This window comes from Homo sapiens, chromosome 7 (assembly GCF_000001405.40).
Source record: "Homo sapiens chromosome 7, GRCh38.p14 Primary Assembly".
NCBI classification, from domain to species: domain Eukaryota; kingdom Metazoa; phylum Chordata; class Mammalia; order Primates; family Hominidae; genus Homo; species Homo sapiens.
Genome location: NC_000007.14, coordinates 12062995 through 12083439, shown reverse-complemented (window position 1 = coordinate 12083439; position 20445 = coordinate 12062995). Strand labels below are relative to the sequence as shown.

General features: G+C 39.0%; 1 long non-coding RNA gene across 1 annotated transcript in view, besides 1 other annotated feature; it reads left to right on the top strand.

The window, feature by feature from the left end:
* LOC124901589 (uncharacterized) overlaps positions 1–20445 on the top strand; it is a 204867-nt gene that overhangs the window by 11298 nt on the left and 173124 nt on the right. The window lies entirely within an intron of this gene.
* Positions 16283–17482: an enhancer, noted in NCBI's record as "P300/CBP strongly-dependent group 1 enhancer chr7:12105584-12106783 (GRCh37/hg19 assembly coordinates)". NCBI's record gives its function as "activates an origin of replication core promoter dependent on BRD2, BRD4, P300/CBP, MED14 and CDK7 cofactors, with strong dependence on P300/CBP, by STARR-seq in HCT116 cells {active_cell/tissue: HCT116}" and the evidence as "EXISTENCE:reporter gene assay evidence [ECO:0000049][PMID:35650434]".

Below are 20445 nucleotides of genomic sequence, written 5' to 3'. Positions count from 1 at the left end.
CCAGGACCCCTTCTCCTTGATGTCCCCATACCACATTTCAGTCCCTTCAACCCCCTAAGAAGCCCTGTTCTGTTCCTTAGCCCTTTACCTTTTGCTTGCGAATTAACAATTGCTTTAACAGGAAAAAGCCATAATGAATGTTGGGTGGAGTCCTTTGTAATTCTTTTTCCTCTGCGATCATAGTCTCTCAAATCCACAGCTTTTATTGGTCTCCAGTGTCTTTAAATGGATGTAATTTGGATTTTGGACAATCTTATCACTTCTCTTCACCAGGGACATAGGTCTGCAAAAGGTTTTTCTGCAGAAAGCACAGTGTGTTACTAAAGATGCAAAATGTAAAGTACATTTAAGTATGTTATTATCTGTAGAATTTGTGATAACCAATTGCAGGATACTTGACTACTATACGCAAAAATACTCCCACTCCTACTCCGATTTTAACCTGGGAGTGAATAATTTAATGTGCATAAAAGACTCAACATATAATGGATAACCTAACATATAATGGACGATTTAGTTCAATAAGTGGTTAGATCTGAATTTTCCAGTCCAGAGCACAGTCTACATTTTACATTTTACAACATCATGCCATTCAGTATCTAAGTACTTGCGTAACCTCTATATCAAGCTCCAAGCTTTAGCTACAACTAAGTTTCAACAGGATTCCTATTGTAGCTCTTGTTTGAACTTAACCTATTTCATTTTTTATGATCACAATCATTTTGTTTTTGTCTTGTAATAAGTGGTAACAGGTAAAGGGCTTGAGTATGAGTGATAGTGAAAATAATGATGACAAATATAAATAACCTAAAAATGTGTATTATTTGCCCTTGACTATTTATCTCAACTTAAGTTTACTTCTTATAAAAATGTCATTTCTTTTCATTCCTGATGTGAAACTTGCCCTTTAACAAATGAGAAAGAATGCCGTTTTATGACTTCACATAACTCAACACTATGAATTACTACAAATATACATTAATATACGATTTCCTCAGAAGCCTATTTCATGTAGCTTTGCAAACAAATGAGAAGGGCACGCTAGAGGAATTAGATAATCATTTAGTAGCAGTTCTAACTTACAGCTTTGACATAACACTTTAACAAAACAATGAAGTGATTGAGTCAAGAAAAGTAGTTATACTACAAAGTACACTCTCTTAAATATTTGGTTCCAAATTTCAGATGTGAGTTATTATTACCACAGCCTGTAGGCACTCATTTAAGTATTCTTGCCTTTTATAAATGGTTTGTGTGAATCAGTTCTATGAGAAAAACATTCTTCCTCGTTACCACCTCCAAACCACAACCATCCATCCATTAGTGTTAAGGGGCCATATATAGGAGGGATGGTAGGTGGGAAGTTTGACTCTGAATTCATTACTGTATATACATACTGTAAAAGTTTGACTTCTAATTTTAGAGCTTTTCGGAAACTTGAAAAGTCAAGTAGCGTGACTTTCACTGTTGACATGTATAATAAAAAAATCCTATATTAATAATTGTTTGAGGCTACTTGTTTTCTCCGACAGATGGTTTCTTTTTTTATGAATGGATTAATACCACCATTCTTTATTTCTATTTCACCATAGTTATCATCATTCTCCAAGTTCAAGGATAAAAACTTGAAGTTCTATATAAATCTTAAATTATTATTTGCTTTTGTATTTATTCACATGCCAAATACATTCTAAGAATTTAATATATTCTTGCTAAAATAAATGTTTTGCTTTTTATCTCTATTTGATGTGTCTATCAGCTTTAGTATATGGAATTTGTCATAGGCACATGAGAATGCATTTGGTGCACTAGAGCATTGATATTTAACTATGCTTTGCATTCTGCTCTTCACACATGTTCCTACTGACATGGATACAAAAAAATGCATTGATTGTGGGACTAAGAAATACAGAAATAGATGCTAGCCACCAAGAATCTCCATAGGCAGAGAAGAAATAATATGATTTAGACAAAGTAATAATAGTCATCATTATCATAATTATGTTCACTAAGATATGTTGAATGGTTATGAAATGCCAGTCCAGTCTCTGTTCTAAGTGCTTAGAATTCCTGACATCTTAGCTTCACACAACCAAGAGTGTATAGCAGAAGTGAGAGTAAACTGGGCATTTTTCAGGGATAAAAAGTCACATGCTAAAGATCAAGACTGAAAAAAAAAGAAAAAAACACATGCAGTCTTGGTCCAAACGTGTTTTAGAATGTGTGACTCCAAGTCATGATCTTTTGCCATTTAAGCAACTACTACTCACACTTTGGAATAACAATTTTATTTCTATGATTCATTACCCATTTAAGTATATAATTTGACATTACCTATGTCAAAATGCATTCATTTTTCCATAATAAACATGGTTCTTATTTTCATGTGCCTAATCTGGGAGGTGACACCTGCTGCCAGAGGAGCTTCCATTCACCCCTTCAACTTGGAAATGCCCTGAAAAATTTAAAATAATTTTCAGACACTTTATTATGTTTATAGCTCTTAGCAAATAATGAATAGAAACAAACATATTGAGTGTTCAGCACCATGAGGAATAGAAAATCAATAGGATGCAATTTCTGTCTTCTGGAACCTTACAAGATAAATGAATGAAATACTACAGGTAAATAAAAACAAAATTGGCTAAATTTTAGGTAAGGAAAATGGAAAGAGTGGAAGCTTGGGGAAGGAAAAAATTCCCTCTTATAGAGCCTATGTTCTCAGAATGGAGAAAAATATGAATTTCCAAGACCTCTAATAATTAACCACTATTCTCAAGGAGTCGTGTAAAAGAATGAACTCTTTCTTCACATCTCAATGAACCAACCAGTGGGTTCTTAGCTTCTTTTACCCTGGACCGGACACATTACCAGTCCTAATCTTTAATATTGAATCCTTCTCACACTGCCAAATACGTTATCTGCTTCTTTCTCTTCCCTGTTTTTGCAGTAGCGTCCTCCTCAAGCTGTACATTTAAAGCGTGAAAGTAACTCATTTCCAGAGTAAACCTTTGTCTTTTCCAGACTAATGAAATACTGCAAAAATGAAACTCTTCCTGTGCCCTAAGTTTCCCAGCTTCACCTGGCACAAAGGAGTGGGGTTGGGGGGAGGTTTGCGTAAATCTACTGAAATTTGGAGAAAGGTTTTGGTTCTTACATGGAAATTGATTTGTATGCTGATGTATGCTAATCAACACAGCACAATTCTCTAATAATGTGATAATTATTATGCTGACTCAGGCTAAAACGTTAGCCCTTGTGGCATGTTTATCTTGTCCTCTGGCACCAGTGGTGTAAAAGAATCGTATTCACCATAACTCTAGTGAATATAATGAATTTTAAAAAGTACTGTTTTGTTTTGATGTAAAGACAGATATATCTTAATGAAAAAGAAAAATAATTGCTAGGCAGTGGATTTGGGGTTGACTTCAATAGGGATAACTTAAATAATGCGAATAAAACAGTAATTAAAATATAGGCAGGTAAACTCCCTCCAGCACTATTTTAATGATGGACACTTTCCAAGAGGGTTCTTATCTCCTCAGAGCAAAGGCTGGAAGCACCTTTTTTCACCCTTAGACAGAGGATGATGGCATCTCATTTTGGTTGTCAGGTGCACAGTTTAGGAGAAAAACACCTCTGGAATATACAAAACATTCTGTTTGTCAGAATGGAAAAATACTGCATGTTTAAGGATCAACTAAGAGATTTTTTTTCTGAATATTTGGGACAAAGCACATTTTAGAAATTAAGACCTCTTGATGAACTTTAGACAAAAGGAAACATGAGTATTTTTCTACCTATTATGTTAAACTGACGCCAAAGGTAAGTTGTAGCATCTTTCATTGTTTGCTTTTAATGAGCACTTAGGCATAGTCTTAAGTCATAACCATTTTGTGATGTTCTATTTTGAGATATGTGTTCTTATGGGCACAGAGCAAGTTATATACATGTTTATGTACTCTTTTCTGCTATAGCATGCTTGAGGATGTCATCTGAACTAGCTTAGTGCCTCAGCAGCTCCTGTACCTCATGGCTACTGACCATACAAGCACTACAATCTTAATTCCAGTGCACAGTACCCTGGAAAGATTTGAATGCAGGGGATTTGTTACAGGAACCCACATTTCACCTTCAGTGTTTCCTCCAGTGGGGAAACTCCTTCCATTCAATCATTTAATAGGCAGTTCTCGATGCTGGCTATGCACATGAATCCCCAGAGATTCTGATTAAATTGGTCTTGGGTGAACCTAAGGTGTTAGTATTTTGTTTAAAGCTCCTCAGGTGAATAAACATACAGCCCAGTCAGACTACCCCACATTAGGTGATTTAGGGAAACCCCATTCACTCATGGCAGGAGAAGACAGCATGGTGACTCTTAGGGGCCTTTGTATCTATCTTCTCTGTAGACTTTGCCATTCTACTTACTATAACTCTATGAAAAGGAATTGCCAAATCTCATCTTTTAAGTCTTGCTTAATTTTGGGTACTGGTTCTTGCTTTGTGTTGTTTTCACTGCCTTGTACCTAATAGTTCAAATTTCCTCTGCTTTCCTACTTGTGACTGCACAATACTCAATCAGTAATTCACCTTGGCATCACATCTTGCAATTCTAAGTCAACCTCTTCTCTAAGCCAAGAGAGGAGACTGGATTATAATCCATACTACACTACACATACAGGCACGGAAATATTGTTTGCATTTTACCAATCACAGTGTACATCCCCAATTCAAAATACTGGAAACACTGTTACCAGCACCCTCTCCAATGATCCAGTAATGCAATAACAAGGCATCAGCATTTCAGCATATAAATCTTTATAGTACATCTTTGACTAAAAAAAATTACATATCACTTAAACCTAGATATCATGGCTCATCTCTGTTCTTTCTTCCCTGTATTTGTGATTGTAATTACGTTGGCTATAAATACCTTTTATCAAAAAAAAAAAATTGTTTTTAAGGTTGTATAATTCTGTTATGAAAAATTCTAAATTTTCATGGATAAATTACTATTAATGAATATGGTTATATGCATTAGGAAGCTAATTTGGTAACAATTATTTCCATATGATAGCAGAAAGTGTTGGAAACAAAGGTAAAGTAATTTGTCAATCAAAATATATGAATAGGTTGAAATTTTGGAAGCAAAAACTATTTATGCTCTATCACTTGCATTTTGATTGTTCCATATGGTTAATGAGACTCCCCTGCCCTCCACATTTGGAAGAGCTTTATTTAAAACAAATATGTAGTCACTAAAAATACAACTAAAAATTTATGTCAGGACAGTAATATTCCTTTTTTTCCAGCTATTCTTGTCAAAGCAACCTAAATCCCCAAAATATAGAGGATTTAAAATGTGGGATTTAAAAATGTAAACAGGGGCTGGGCACGGTGGCTCACGCCTGTAATCCCAGGACTTTGGGGGGCTGAGGCGGGCGGATCATGAGGTCAGGAGATCGAGACCCTCCTGGCTAACACGGTGAAACCCCGTCTCTACTAAAAATACAAAAAAAAAAAAAAAAAAAAATTAGCTGGGCGTAGTGGCGGGCGCCTGCAGTCCCAGGTACTCGGGGAGGCTGAGCCAGGAGAATGGCGTGAACCCAGGAGGCGGAGCTTGCAGTGAGCCGAGATAGCGCCACTGCACTCCAGCCTGGGGGACAGACCGAGACTCCATCTCAATAAAAAGTAAACAGTAAGTTGCTTACTTGTCAAACAGTTTTTAAATAACACAGCAGCAACAAAAGAACATAAATATTAATACTACTACTACGAATTAACTTAGAACATTCTGATAATCTGAATTTTCACACTACATGGTTTCAGTAGTAATGATATTAAGATTTCTTGATATATTTTAGTGGGTTTGTAGTTGGCTCAGGTTTATTATAGTCCGTTAGAGTGTTATATTGTCATCTCTATAAAGTGGCATCGACGCACATGAAAACCTTTAATGACTTCACAGGATTAGGCTGTTGCAGTTATGATGATAGTTTCTGCCCATTACTTTCACTATTTAAGAGGAAGTTCCAATAATATTTTCAAATTGAGCTAGAAGGTAATCACTGCGGTAAAAACCCCAGGCTAAGTTGAAGAGGTTATATAGTTTTGCTATTACAATTCTTTGATTTGAAATAATAGAAACCAACTTCTCAAATCATGAAGCAAATTAATAATAAGGGTACAAATGCATAGCCTTGAATCCAGAGGCTGAAATTCATGTAGGCCTCAGTTAGCTAACATAAGCAGGAAAAATCACTGGAACTTTTCATCCTTCATGTTTATTCCTCCCTGGGTTGTCTGTTTTAATGCCTATTTTTGCAAACAAGCTTCCTCTTCTACTCTGCCTACTTGGTAGCTGTGACTTCTACCTCCCTATGTTTTGTATATGGCAGCCTAGTCATATACAAAATCAAGAGATTAAGAGGCTCTGGGAAAGAAGAGCATCTGGCTGCTACAGCTTTGTTCAAGGACATACTCTTCACTAGGGATGGCCTGGTGTTAGTGTCACTGAGCATTGACTTCCGGGGCTTAGACCTGTGCATGAGGAAGGGGGATAAGTTGAACAATGTAAACTCTCATTGGGCATGTGCAAAAAGACTAAATTTAAATTTGTGCATGAGGCTTAGGGTAGTACTTACTGCTAAAGATTCTTCAGCCTAGGGGCATGGACTTCTTCTTCCAGCCCACCTGTTATTCCCATGGGCACCTATCATCTCCTTCCCTATATTTGCACAGCTAACAACTATCTTGCTACTTCCTGCTGTTTACCCTGAAACCCTGATTTGACATCTTCCGTATAACTCCAGGGCTGCACCAACATATTATCTACATTGGTTAAAAAGAAAAGTTAGTGGGAAGGGGAAGAAAAAGTAGGCTGTTCCTTTTTCTTCTGACTTTCAACTCTAACCAACACTGCCACATCAGCAGACGTCGTACAATAATCATGATTGGTAATTATGATGATAGTAGTTACTGAGCATTCCCTATGTGTACTAGACTAGGCTAGTCCTTATCTTGTCTCATTTAATACAGATAACAACCTTATAGATAGACACTCATCTCCATTTTATATGTAGGTAACTAAAGCTGGGAGAAATGGACTTTTCAGAGGGGCTGTAAGTAATAAGCGATGAAGCTGAAATTCAACCTCAGGCAGTCTGATTCTAGTCCAGTAATTTTTCACAGAAAAGTTGGGAAGTGCTGCAAGGCTGCAGGCCGCCAGCACGCCTTGCATCCATCCCTTCCCCATTCCACCCATCCCTCATTTCAGAAACTTGTCTCAAAACTCTTTAGGCCCATATAGTGATTCTTTAGGGTAGTCCATTTGGTCCCACCGTCACACCATCCCTTTCATGCAACACTAACTTTCTCTAGGGAGGGTATCAAATGGATAAATATTTATCCTCCCTCTGTTCTTGCACTGTCATCATCATTTAGGAAATCAAGAAACAAGAGGAATGAAAGGGTCTTGTTTTGCATTAGGTCAGGGAAATAGGCAGTGAGAGTCAGATTCTGGTGGAAAGGTGGCACCCCTCGTGCAAACCTCAGAGTTCACAAAAACAAGCTAGGAAAGTCAGTTGAACCTTTGTCCTGTCCCAGGTCATGGGGATCTCATGAATGATTAGTGGAGAAGCCCGCATATCTTTTGCAGGCAAATAGAGGGAATAAGGACAAAGCATAGCAGGGCTAGATAGATGCTTGGCATTCATAAAACTTTGTGACCCATGTTGATTGGGTAATATGCTTAAAGTACATTATTAAGTGATTAGAATTCGGGGGGGTGTTGAATTTAGAATAAGTCTAACCAATTTCAATGGGACAATGGGGATTAAATGGAATCTATTTACATATGCATTTTGGGAATGCAACTCATTTAAAATTGAGGATTCCTTATGTGACTGTGAAATTTGAATGACTGGGCCAGAATTTTGCTGAAAAGTAAAAACCCTTTTAATTGGCACAATTATAGAGAAATTGAAGTGTCAGAATATTAAGGCCTGTTGGAAGTAAATGCTCAGTGCCTCAAAGTGAAAATAGCACTCAGGCAAATTTTTCTCAGCAAGGCAATTTACTTCTATAGAAGGGTGCATCTCGAGGATGGAGAAATGGCGAGAGCACACTGGACAAGGGAGGGAAAGGGGGTCTTATCCTTAATGCAGCTAGTCCCTACTACTGTGTCTTTCCCCTATTGGCTAGGGTTGGACTGCATAGTCTAAGCTAACTCCAATTGGCTATTTTAAAGAGAGCAGGGGTACGAGCCAGAGTGGCAGGGTGAGTAGTTTCAGTGGAAAGGATGGTTACAGAGCAGATGACTAAGGTCAGAGCAGGTGACTAAGGACAGAGCAGGTGACTAAGGGTGACTAAGGACAAAGCAGGTGATAGAGGCTGGGAGGGGGTTGTTTACTGAGACTAAGGGCAAGGAGACATAAAAAACAAGGAAGTTAAACTTTAAAATGGAGAACAAAGAACATGGAAGCTGAATATATGGACATATTGGTTCTTAGAAGAGGAATTTATGGAATCCTTCAATATCCCTTTCAATTTTTATAGTCCTTCCTCTTCAAACCTTTTTAACATGTCTTGGCTTTGTTGTTCAACTTGATCCTCTAAAAGGAAAAGCTTATCTGAATAAAGTGGAGGAGAGCTAAGGGAGGGTTTAGTAAGTGCTGTTTCTATAAGTCTTTGCACTAGCCCACGGATGCATGGTATGACACAACACCCAACAAGAATGAGTACACCTGTTATGGCTGTAAGAGAAGTAAGAATTGAGGCTATGATTCCTTTCTATTTACTGAACCACCTCTCTAGCCATCTTAAGAAAGGGTTGTCGACTCCAGAATTTTTAGTTAACTTATTAGATAAAGCAGTAAGTCCTTGTAGGGCCCTTGTTATGTTCCCATCAAGGGCAGTGTTGTTTGGGATGAGGGTACAACACTGAGTTTTAATCATAACAAACACTATCTTTTTTGGCTAATATCATTTCTGTGGCCATTCTATTCTTCCAGGCCATCTGTCTAGTAGGCCCCAATTGTTCTGCTATTCCTTTGACAACATCCCTGATGTAATTGATAAATCGCTGTTGATTATAATAGATGTAATTTATCCAATCTATGTTTTTATTGATAGTCAACCACCAAAATATTGACTCAAATCCTGCAGTTATTTGATCCCAGGCTTTAAATTTATGTGGTACCCTTGTGAGCCTAATTGTATCTAAATAAACGTGGGAGTGGAAAGACCAATAAGGGGCTTCCCTTGGTTTACAACGTTGTGTTTTTCCTTTTTCTGGTTGATGAAATGCCAGGGCAAAAGGGATAGTCAATTGGACTAGAGCACCAGTGCCACTCCAGTTACTTGGCAGAGTGTCCAGTAAAGGTCCACCACAATACTACCATACATCTGCTCGGGGGTGAATAAGCGTTGACTGATTGTTAAGCTCTTGGAAAGTATTCAGCTCACTGTATCCTTTTATGTCTCCAAGGAACGCTAAGTTACCTACTTATTGTGAGAGACACGAAGTGAACCTAGTGTCGGGAGGCGGAAGCTGGATGGCCCTCAGTGGCTGACCCGCAGAGTGTTGAATTTTGGGATATAGCAGAGAGAGAACTTGACACGACTTGTTACCCCAGGCTGTGGAATCTTGGAAAAGAGCTACTATACAGCCCATGTCTGGTTGACTGAAGGACCATCCTAGTGGAAAGCAGATAATCTGGGCTTCTGGTCTGCCATTCACACAAGCTTAACAATTGCTTTTGTTTAAAGTGCAGACAGAATATTTGATCCATTCCAACCAGGCATTCACATCTTGATACCCTGTCTCAGTTGCCAAAGTTTGTTTTAGGTCTTTAAGTTCTATAATAGCTACCTTGGTCTTGTCATTAGATAGAGAAGAAACAACAGTTTCATTGTGAGAGGTTTTGGAAGAAGGCTTAGGGGAAGGTATAGGCAGTAGGGGAGCAATGAAGTGTATTTCAAAGGATCTGATAGGGTCTGTTCCTGAAACCTCAGCCCCCATCCCATAAAACCAGCTTAAATAAAGGAACCGACTTAGAGAAGAAGAACTTTGAGGGTTTGAGATAATAACCTGTACTGGATTGCACTGGTTGAGCTGACAGTTAGGGGAAGCTGTTTCTTTAGTAAAATGAATGTGTGGTTTTAGGAAATTACAACTGCTGGTTGTGGCAGTCCATCCTTGCACTTTAGTGGTCCACAGAATGTTGGACCAACTACAGCATAAAAGCTCTGTATCGGGGGGCAAGACTCCCAGTTGACACTGGGGTCTTCACTGAAACCTTCCCAGACTAAATGATCCTGATTCACTAATCTCCAGCCTGAGGGGAGTCAAGAAGGACAGAGGTATTTTTCTGAAGTGGAAAGCTGTCTTTGACTTGGTAAGTCTCTATGGGGTATAACAAGGCAAGAATCAAATGTAATAGTTTGAGGCAAAATTGACCTGGTTACATTAATAATGAGGTGGTCAGCAATACAGCAAGGAAAGGAGGAGTAATAGAATAGATGAAAGATAGTTAATTTTTTCTTAGCTTTAGTTTGGTAGGGTTTTCACCTGGGACTATGGCCCATGACTCTCGTGTGGGCAGTGCTTTCTTGACTCGGGTGTGATGGGTCCATCCTTTTTCTGCTGTTGAGACTGCGGTTTCAGTAGTTAGGAGCACTAGGTAAGGTCCTTCCCAGGCCAATTCAAGCTTTTCCTCCTTCCAGCTTTTGATGAGGATGTGATCCCCAGGCTGATTTTGATGTACTGGGAACTCCAGGGGCAGTGTCTGTGCTAGGAGACCTTTGGTTTTAAGAGAAGAGAAAGTAGAAGATAGGCCAAGTGTATAATTTTTAAGGAATTGGTTTTTTGTTTCAAAGGTAGGAATGTCAATAGTGGAGCGTAAATAAGGCAATCCATTGAGCATCTCTTAAAGGGAAAGACCAATATCTTTCTGAGGGGCAGTTCAGATTCTTAACAGGGCAATAGGAAAGCATTTGGTCCATGGTAACCAAGTCTCCAGAACCAACTTGGTTAAGCGGTTCTTCAGAGTTTAATTCATTCTTTCTATTCTCCCTGATGAAGGTGGGTGCCAAGGAGTATGATATTCCCATCTAATGTCTAGTGTTTGGGATAGCTTTTTAGTGATGTGCGCAGTGAAATTGGTTCCATTGTCTGAGTCAATATTTTCTATTAGCCCAAATCTGGACACTGTATTTTCAATTAACACCTTAACTACATTATTGGCCATTGCATTTGAAAAGGGGATAGCTTTGACCCAGTGAATGAGGTGATCTGCTATCACTAGTAAGTATTTTAGATGACCTATTGAAGGTATCTCTGTGCAATCAATCTGGATACTTTGGGATAGCCTTAAGCCTGGGCTCCTTCCCCAAAGGGGTATTCTTTTTAGTTTTCTTACATACTATACAACTGTCTGTAACCTGTTTGGCCAGGGTATAAATTCCTGTGCACCGATAAACTCTGAGGACTGTATCACACATGGCTTGGGGCCCCCAATGGGTCCCTTGATGCAGTTGGGACAAGACTTCCCTCATAAGGGATTTGGATAACGTTTCTGTCTGGTCTGGCAGTATCCATTTTTCTTCTGAATTCTCTTTAGCATCTGTTTTTATTAGTTTTTCTTTTTTAGTGGAAGAGAAAATGGGGATCATGGTAGGAGAAGGAAGGTAATGAGTTAAGTCAAAAATAGGTGTTTTAGAAGAAATGGCAGCCTGTTTGGCTATCTGATCTGCTAGGTTATTTCCTCGACTTTCACAAGAAAGACTTTTCTGATATCCAGGGACATGGACAATACCTATTCTTCTGGCAACTGCAGATTATTAAATATTTGGGTGATTAGCTCCTTATGAAAAAGGTCTTGACTTTTACTACTAAAGAGACCTCATTCAGTCAAAATTTTCCAAATGTGTGAGCCACTCAACAGGTGTACTGAGAATTGGTATAGATGGTTCCTTCCTGGTTCTGAAAGTACTTTAAGGCTTGGCTGAGTGCAAACCGCTTGCAAGTTTGGGCAGACCAATTATGAGGCAATTTTCCTGACTCTATTTCTTCGAGAGTTTCTCCATCAAGTACTGAATACCCATTGTGTCTTTTTTCCTCAATCACCCGGGAGGAATCATCTATAAATAACTCTCGTCCCGTCCTGAAGGGAGTGTCTCCTAGGTCTGGTTGGACTTTTAAATGATAATCAATTAAATCTAAACATTTGTGCTCTCTCTTTAGATTTGGATCCCCTGTTAGGAAACCTGCTGGGATAAGTGAATTATCAGTGGTTAATATTAACAGAATAGCCTCATACTTTAAGATTCTTGAGTCAGTAAGCCACTGCCCTGCTTTCTGGTTTAAGATAGTTCTAACTTGGTGGGGCATGCTTACTGTCAATTTTCCTCCAAAGGTTAACTTTCTACTTTCTTTACTAATACTCCTGTAGTTGCAATGGATTGGATGTATTGAGGCCATCTACAAGTAACTGGATCTAAGACTTTTGACAGGAAGACCACAGGCTACCAACAGCCTCTGTGTCCTTCAGTAAGCACTTCTAAAGTTACTCCATTATCCACGTTGACAAAAATGTGGAATGGCTTTTTAGGGAAGGTAAGGCTAAGACAAGGGTGGTTATGAGCCTTTCTTTCAGCTCTTTGATCTGATCACCTTTCTCAGAAGTCTACAGGAGATGGTCAGGCTTCTTCTGGGCAAGTTTTTGATATAAAAGTTTATTGTTTAGTGCATATGAGTCAATTCATAAGTGACAGTATCCAACTAACCCTAAAGATTTCCTGAGTTTTTATTTAGTTTGAGGCAAGGGTAGGGATACGATTCCCTCAACTTATTTAGGCCCTATTTTTCACTTGTCTGCACTGTGGCCTAAATATTTAACTTCAGGCTCTACCTACTGAAGCTTTCCGTTTGAGACTTGTAACCCTTCGAACTGCAGATGGTTAAGAATATGTGTAGAGAAGCTAGCTACTTTCTCCATATCTTCACCAGATATAAGAATATCATCAACATATTGGAGTAGGCATATTTGTTTTGGGATGATGACTTTTTCTAATACTTGTTCTAAAATTTGACCGAAAAGGTTAAGGGAGTCTGTGAACCCTTGGAATAAGACTGTCCATCGATATTGTTGTTTTCACCCTGGATGGAGATCTTTCCACTCAAAAGCAAATATATCTTCACAATCTTTAGCCAGGGGACATGTCCAAAAATCATCCTTCAAATCTGTAACAGTAAACCATTGATGATTATATGGAATCTTGCTGAGAATGGTGTAAGGATTGGGAACAATGGGGTGGGTAGTTTGGACTATTTGGTTAATGGCTCTAAGGTCTTTTACCAGCCAGTATGACCCATCTGATTTCTTGACAGGCAGTATTGGGGTGTTATAAGAGGACATATAGGGCTCAAGAAGCCCATCTTTAGTAAGACCTTCACTTATAGGTTTTAACCCTATCCTGCCCTCTAGGGGAATGGGGTATTATTTTCTCCTTACTACTTCCCCGGGGGTTTTTAGCTTGATGTGGATTGGAGGGACTCAGAGTTTTCTTCAGTTCTTTTCTTTGGACCAGACATTAGAATTAATGTATTTTGTCTCTGTATTGGTGAGTAGGTTTAATGAGGTGAAGAATTCTCTTGGTCTGACTTGTAGGCCTCTGCCTAACTTCAACATTAAATCCCTCCCTAATAAATTAGTCTCTGCTTCAGGGATTAACAAAAACTGAATATGAGCTGATTGATCTTGGTATTTGACTTTTGTGTATTTTAAAATTTTTGTTTTAAATCCTTCACCTTTCACTCCAGAGAGCAAAAGTCCTTCCAAAGAGTAGGCAATATTAGATGGGGGGAAACCAACAGAGGAACAAGTCATCCCTGAATCGAACAAAAAGTGATAAATTCATGTTTAGGTCCCACTTCTAAATTTATTAAGGGCTCCTGGTGGGACTCAACATAAAAGAGACAGAGCCCCTGACTCCCTTATTCTTCCTCAAAAGTAATGAACGGAAGGACTTTTTTCTCTTTTTTGAATTCAGGACATTTCCTCTTGAAGTGGCCTGTACTTTCATATTTGTAGCACCTATCTTGTCCTTTGTACCTCTCAGTTCTGGGATTTTTTTACTTTGTTTTGCCATACTCTTCAGAGGGCCTTGGTCCTCCAGATGGAGGCTTAGGTCTTTTAAAGAAGGGTTTGGACCCTTTATAGTTTCTGTGTCTCTGGAAGCTCTGTTTAGAAGGACATGGATTTGGAGTCTTCTGTTGGAAGGTGGATAATGTAAGTTTTGTCTTTTGTTTCTGATTTTTTTCGTCTCTCCTCACACATAACTTTTGAGTTTCCATGCGAAGTTCACTCGGGGGACGGTCTGGTCTTTCCAATTTTCTATTTTTTTGTACTTTTTTTGAAATGTCTGGCCAACTTTTTGTGAAAAATTGGAGTTTTAACATTTCTCATCCAAAGGGATCTTCTAAATTGAGGCCTGTATATTGTCTCATTTGTTCCTTCAGTCTGTCTAGGAATTTCATAGGCCCTTTATCCTTTTTCTGTTGCATATTAAATGTTTTAGAAAGATTTTGGGTTTGGGGTACTGATTCCCGAGTTCATTTGATTATCACCTCCCTTAGGCCCTGTGTATTTTCCTGGTGAGTTGTGTTGTTATTGTCCCAGCGGGGGTCTTGGGCAGGGAATTTCTGGTCCATGGTAGGAACGTTTTGACTGGGTGAATGCTCACGTTCTCAAACTACTATAGCAGCCCTATGAATCATACTCCTTTCTTCTCCTGAAAAGAGGATGTCCAAAATGGACATTAACTCAACCCAAGTGTATAACTGAGGTCCTAAAAATTGATCAATTTGATCTGCCACTCCGTAAGGGTCATCTAGTAATGGCTTAAGCTCCTTTTTTAAACTCTGGAATTCTGAACTGGTTAAGGGAGTATCCATGAAGTCAATGGTTCCTCCTCCTTGTGGCACCTATCTTAAGGGAAGGAGATCAGGGGCTGACTCTTTAGTTGTAGAGGGAAAAGGGAAGTTTCGGATATCCTTTTTATATTGTTCTATTTCACATTGGAGTCCCTTTAGGGAGGGGTCCTTAGGCTGTTAGGGGACAGACTCTTGGGATGATAATTTCCAAGAGTCAGGATTGTAAGGAGGGGGAATAACGTGAGTAGGTGAAGAATCTGGAGCAGGATCTTGGGCAGCAGCAGCTGTCTGAGGAGAGGGCTTGGGGTCACTGAGCAGGGGAAGATGGTCTAGGGGATCCCATATGCTGGAGTCTTTGCGCATGGGAACTAACTTATGTAATTTTTCCTTTTGTGATGTTACATTGGGTTCTTCCCTAGTTGTCTTTAAGGGGAAAAGGACAGGTCTCTGCCTCCAACAAAGAGCATAGTCTAGTTCCTCTTGAGAAACGAGGCTTTTATCATTTACATATTGAATGAAAAGCTGACACATTACATCTTCATTCGACCCAAACTTTGGTCAGAAGATTTGAGGGTTTGAAGATGGGTCTCTGAGTCCAAATAAAACAGCAATATTTTATCATTTGTTGCTTTTTCTTATGTTTAGTCCTCTCATTATTTTTCCAGTATTTTAACATGAGACCTAGGGGACTATGAGGGGGAATCATCTTTGTTGGTATTTTTATCCTTTTTACTCCCTGTCTTGCTTAGGGTATTTCCCATGTTGGGTCCTAGTTAGGCTTAATCCCTCATACTAGAGATTTCTTGCCTATCTTTTAGCCCCACCTGCTGGAGGATCCTTGCACCCTTCTTTTGCTTCATCCACTCTGGCCGCTTCCCTTTTGGGTGTCTAGGCCCCTCTTGGTATTGGCATGCCAGTTTGAACCCCATGGCAGGATCTGTCCTAAGCCGTATGAGGTGACCATGGAACCGCAGATAGGACCCACTCACTCCACACAGCGGTAGTGCGTAGTACCATTCACACAAGCAGCACTGCAAGCAGTAGTGTTTGTGATCATTTAAACACACTTTTAACCTCCAGAATATCTTGACCAGCAAGGAAATACTTCGTCACCCCTGCGACATTGCTTAACTTGGTCTGTGTACAGAGTTACCTGATTGCTGCGGTATGTGAGAATCCTTTCCCCAAGCTATCATCCTGTTTCCTTCTGGGTTGTTGAGAGCCCGAGTTTATTTGTCGCACTGGGTGGTTCCCCATCTCTCACCCTGAGGCCACCACAATGAGGCAATGGGACGCGTCTCCCCACGAGAAGTGAATGGAGACCCATTCCCTGGAGGAGAATGGGAATCCCGGGCAGGCGCCCAAAATTGTTGGAAGTAAATGCTCGGTGCCACAAAGTGAAAATAGCATTCAGACAAAAGTTTTCTCAACAAAACAATTTACTTCTATAGAAGGGTGAGTCTCATGGATAGAGCAATGGAGAGAGCACACCAGACAAGGGAGGGGAAGAGAGTCTTATCCTTAATGCAGTTAGTCCCTACTGCTGTGTCTTTCCTCTATTGACTAGGGTTAGACCGCACAGTCTAAGGTAATTCGGGTTGGCTATTTTAAAGAGAGCAGTGGTACAAGCTGAAATGGCAGGGTGAGTAGTTTTGGTGGGAGGGATGGTTACAAAACAGGTGACTAAGTATGACTAAGGACAGAGCAGGTGACTAAGGACAGAACAGGTGACTATAAGGATGACTAAAGACAGAGCAGATGACTAAGGACAGAGCAGGTGACTAAGGACAGAGAGGGTGATAGAGGTTAGGAGGGGGTTGTTTACTGAAACTAGGGACAAAGAGACGTAAAGAACAAGGAAGTTAAACTTTAAGATGAGGAACAAAGAACAGGGAAGCTGAACATAGTGACATATTGGTTCTTTAAAGAGAAATCTACTGTATCCTACAAGGCCTTAGTGCAGACCAAGTTGCATTACTTCTGTGGTATGGCAAACAGTCCTAAAATAAGCAGATATAAAACAAACAAAATCATACAGCATGTTTTCTATTAGGAATACAAAGGGAAAGCAAACGTAACATGTCTAGTCCTTAGTAAAACCTGGGTGACAAAAGAGAAGAGTGAAAAAGGGCAGCACATCATTGTGGTATATGTTTCTTATATATGTTTCTTAACGTCCTTTCGTTCTTTACGTCTCTTGTCCCTAGTTTCAATAAACAGCCCCCTCCTAATCTCTATCACCTGCTCTGTCCTTAGTCACCTCCTCTGTCTTTACTCATCCTTATAGTCACCTGTTCCATGCTTAGTCACCTGTTCTGTCCTTAGTCATCCTTAGTCACCTGTTTTGTAACCATCCTTCCCACCGAAACTACTCACCTCACCATTCCAGGTCATACCCCTGCTCTCTTTAAAGCAGCCAATTGGAATTACCTTAGACTGTGTGGTCTAACCCTAGTCAATAGGGGAAAGACACAGCAGTAGGGACTAGCTGCATTAAGGATAAGACGCTCTTCCCATCCCTTGTCTGGTGTGCTCTCTCCATTGCTCTATCCATGAGACTCACCCTTCTATAGAAGTAAATTGTCTTGTTGAGAAAACTTTTGTCTGAATGCTATTTTTACTTTGTGGCACTGAACATTTACTTCCAACAATTTTGGGGGCCTGCCTGGGATTCCCATTCTCCTCCAGGGAACAGGTCTCCATTCACTTCAAGTGGGGAAGAGCTTCACATACACCTTTATTTTTTATTTTCATTAATGTCACTAATTCACATTATAAAATGATGGTAAAACATTTACATAAGTGCTGGACTGCAGTTCAATGTGTTTTTAAGTGCAGAAACAAAGTTACCGTCTAAACTAAATTTTGTTCCATTTGACGTAAAAAGAGAAATATCTACTTAAAGCAATCTTTCGTTTTATAGGTGAATGAAATGCTAATCACAAATAATTCTCATATAATCAGTAAAGAAATCACTTATAAAGTCCTATAAGCTGACATTTTGTCCAGCTCAAGCTCCTGTTTGTACTTAAAATATTAAAATTATAAGTCTTGAAACTAATTCTAACTGGAGGATCCTGCTTGTTTGCAGTCTCTGCAAAACAGTTTCAATATAGTATATTTCAACTTCCTTTCAAGACGGAGACTATATTTCTGTTGTTGAAGCAATTAGGTGCATATTTTACCTACAACAATCAATAAGTAGACAGTCTGTTTCTTATACTCTTCTTCCACCACAGCTAGGTGTTAGACAAACACAAGTCATTCAGGCATTTTTAAAAGACCCTTCTTTCTGTTGCTATGTCCTCTAATTTCTGATTTCTGCCTGGGGGAGCTTACAGCAAGTATAACTCTCTTTTGTGGTGGCTAGGGAAGCTAAAAAAAAAAAGTTTTGCAAAACATAAAATAAAACACCCTTTTTATAAAAGCAAGGTGAAAAGTTCAAACATCCAGCTTCATTGGCAAATTGTGATTTGGCTCCATGAAAGTAAGTTTACTCCCTGATTCAGTGAGAAGATACATACTGATCCTTAGTAACTGCTTTGCCTGTGGCATGTGTGATAATCACATTATGTAGACCATTAATCTGCTTCCGGGTCTATTTGATGTCAATGACTCAGTTATATTTATGGATGGGGCAGATCTCAGTTTTACCTTTTAAAGTTACTTAAAGAGAATAAGCATAACAATATGTATTAGTTTTCTATTGTTGCCATAACAAACTAGCACAATGTTAGTGGCTTAAAACAACACTAAATTATGTTACTCTTCTGGCAGTCCTACATAGTCTCACTAGTCTCAAATCAAGGTATCAGCAGGGTTGCATTCCTTTCTGGAGGCTTTTAGGAGGATTGGTTTCATTGACTTTCCAATTTCTAGAGGCTACCCACATTTCCTGACTATGACCCCCTTTCTGCATCTTTAAAACGAGCAAAATTCATCCTCTGACAATCTTTTGTTATATATCTCTCTGATTGCAGCTGGGAAAAAGTTTCCATTTTTAAGAACTCGTATATTTAGACTGGGCCCATGTGAGTAATCCAGGATAATCTCCCCATTTAAAGATCCTTTACCTATGGCCAGCTGTGGTGGCTCTGCCTGTAATCCCCGCACTTTGGGAGGTCGAGGCGGGAGGCTTGCTTGAGGCCAGGAGTTTGACACCAGCCTGGGCAACATAGTGAGACCTCATCTCTACAACAAATAAAAAAAATTATCCAGTATCTGGGCATAGTGGCATATACCTCCAGTCCAAGCTACTTGAGCACTGAGATGGGAGAATCACTTGAGCCCAGGAGGTCGAGGCTACAGTGAGCGAAGATCATACCACTGCAGTCTAGCCTGGGTGACAGAGTGAGATCTTATATCAAAAAAAAAAAAAAAATTTCTTCACCTGAATAACATCAACCAAGTCCCTTTGGCCATGAGAGGTAACATATTAGGATATGAACAACTTTTCTTGAGGGGAGGAAGGGGTGGCATAATTCTGTCTACTATAGAATAGTTTAGGACAGCAATATCCAGAGCAAATTAAATGTGCAAATTTATTTTTGGTAGAATTTTTTTCTCCAATTAAATGAGTTTCTTTCAGCTCTTTCCCTGAAAGGTATTTTGATTTTCATTATATTTCATTCTTTTGATTATTTTCACTTAATAGATGTGAAAATTGAAGTTCATAAAATTATCAAAAGTCATGCTTCAAGATGTAGGAGGAGCCAAAGGCTGCATCAGGTGTTGGGTTCGAAGAGTCTTTCCTCCAGTGACCCATTGTTCTCCAAATTATTCACAAGAGAACAGACAAAAAAGTGATGTCCTAGAAAATCATAGGCCAGTCTCTCAACCAGAAAACTTCTGGGAATGCTATTTTTAAAGTCCTTAACAGATTTTTCTTACTGAAAGTCATAACAAATGTTTCCTCTAGAAAAAAATGTTTCTATTGAAGTATATTTGACAATTGAAAATTGTATATATTTAAGAAGTACAATTTGATGATTTGATATACATATTCATTGTGACATAAGTGCAACAGCCAAGATAATTAACATAGCCATTTCTTGAGTTATCATTTTTGTTTCTTTTTGTTGTGAGAACACTTAAGAGCTAACCTCTTAGCAAATTTCAATTATACAGTAAGTTGTTTATTATAGTCACATTGGTATACATTAAATCTCCATAACTTATTCTTGTTACACTGAAACTTTATACTCCTTAACAGGATCTTGCTGTTTCCCCATCTATCCAGTTCCTAGCAAACACTCTTCTTTCTGCTTCTATGAGTTTGATTCTTTTAGATCCCACATAGGAGATCATGAAGCATTTGTTTTTCTGTGACTGGATTATTTATACATGGTTTATCCACGTTGTTACAAATAACTGGTTTTTATATTTTTTTGCAATGTGGAATAATATTCAGAAAAAAATATTCATAAAAGCTGTGCAACATTCCATTATGTATTTATACTACATTTTCTTTATTCAGTCACCTGTTGATGGACACAGGTTGTTTGCACATA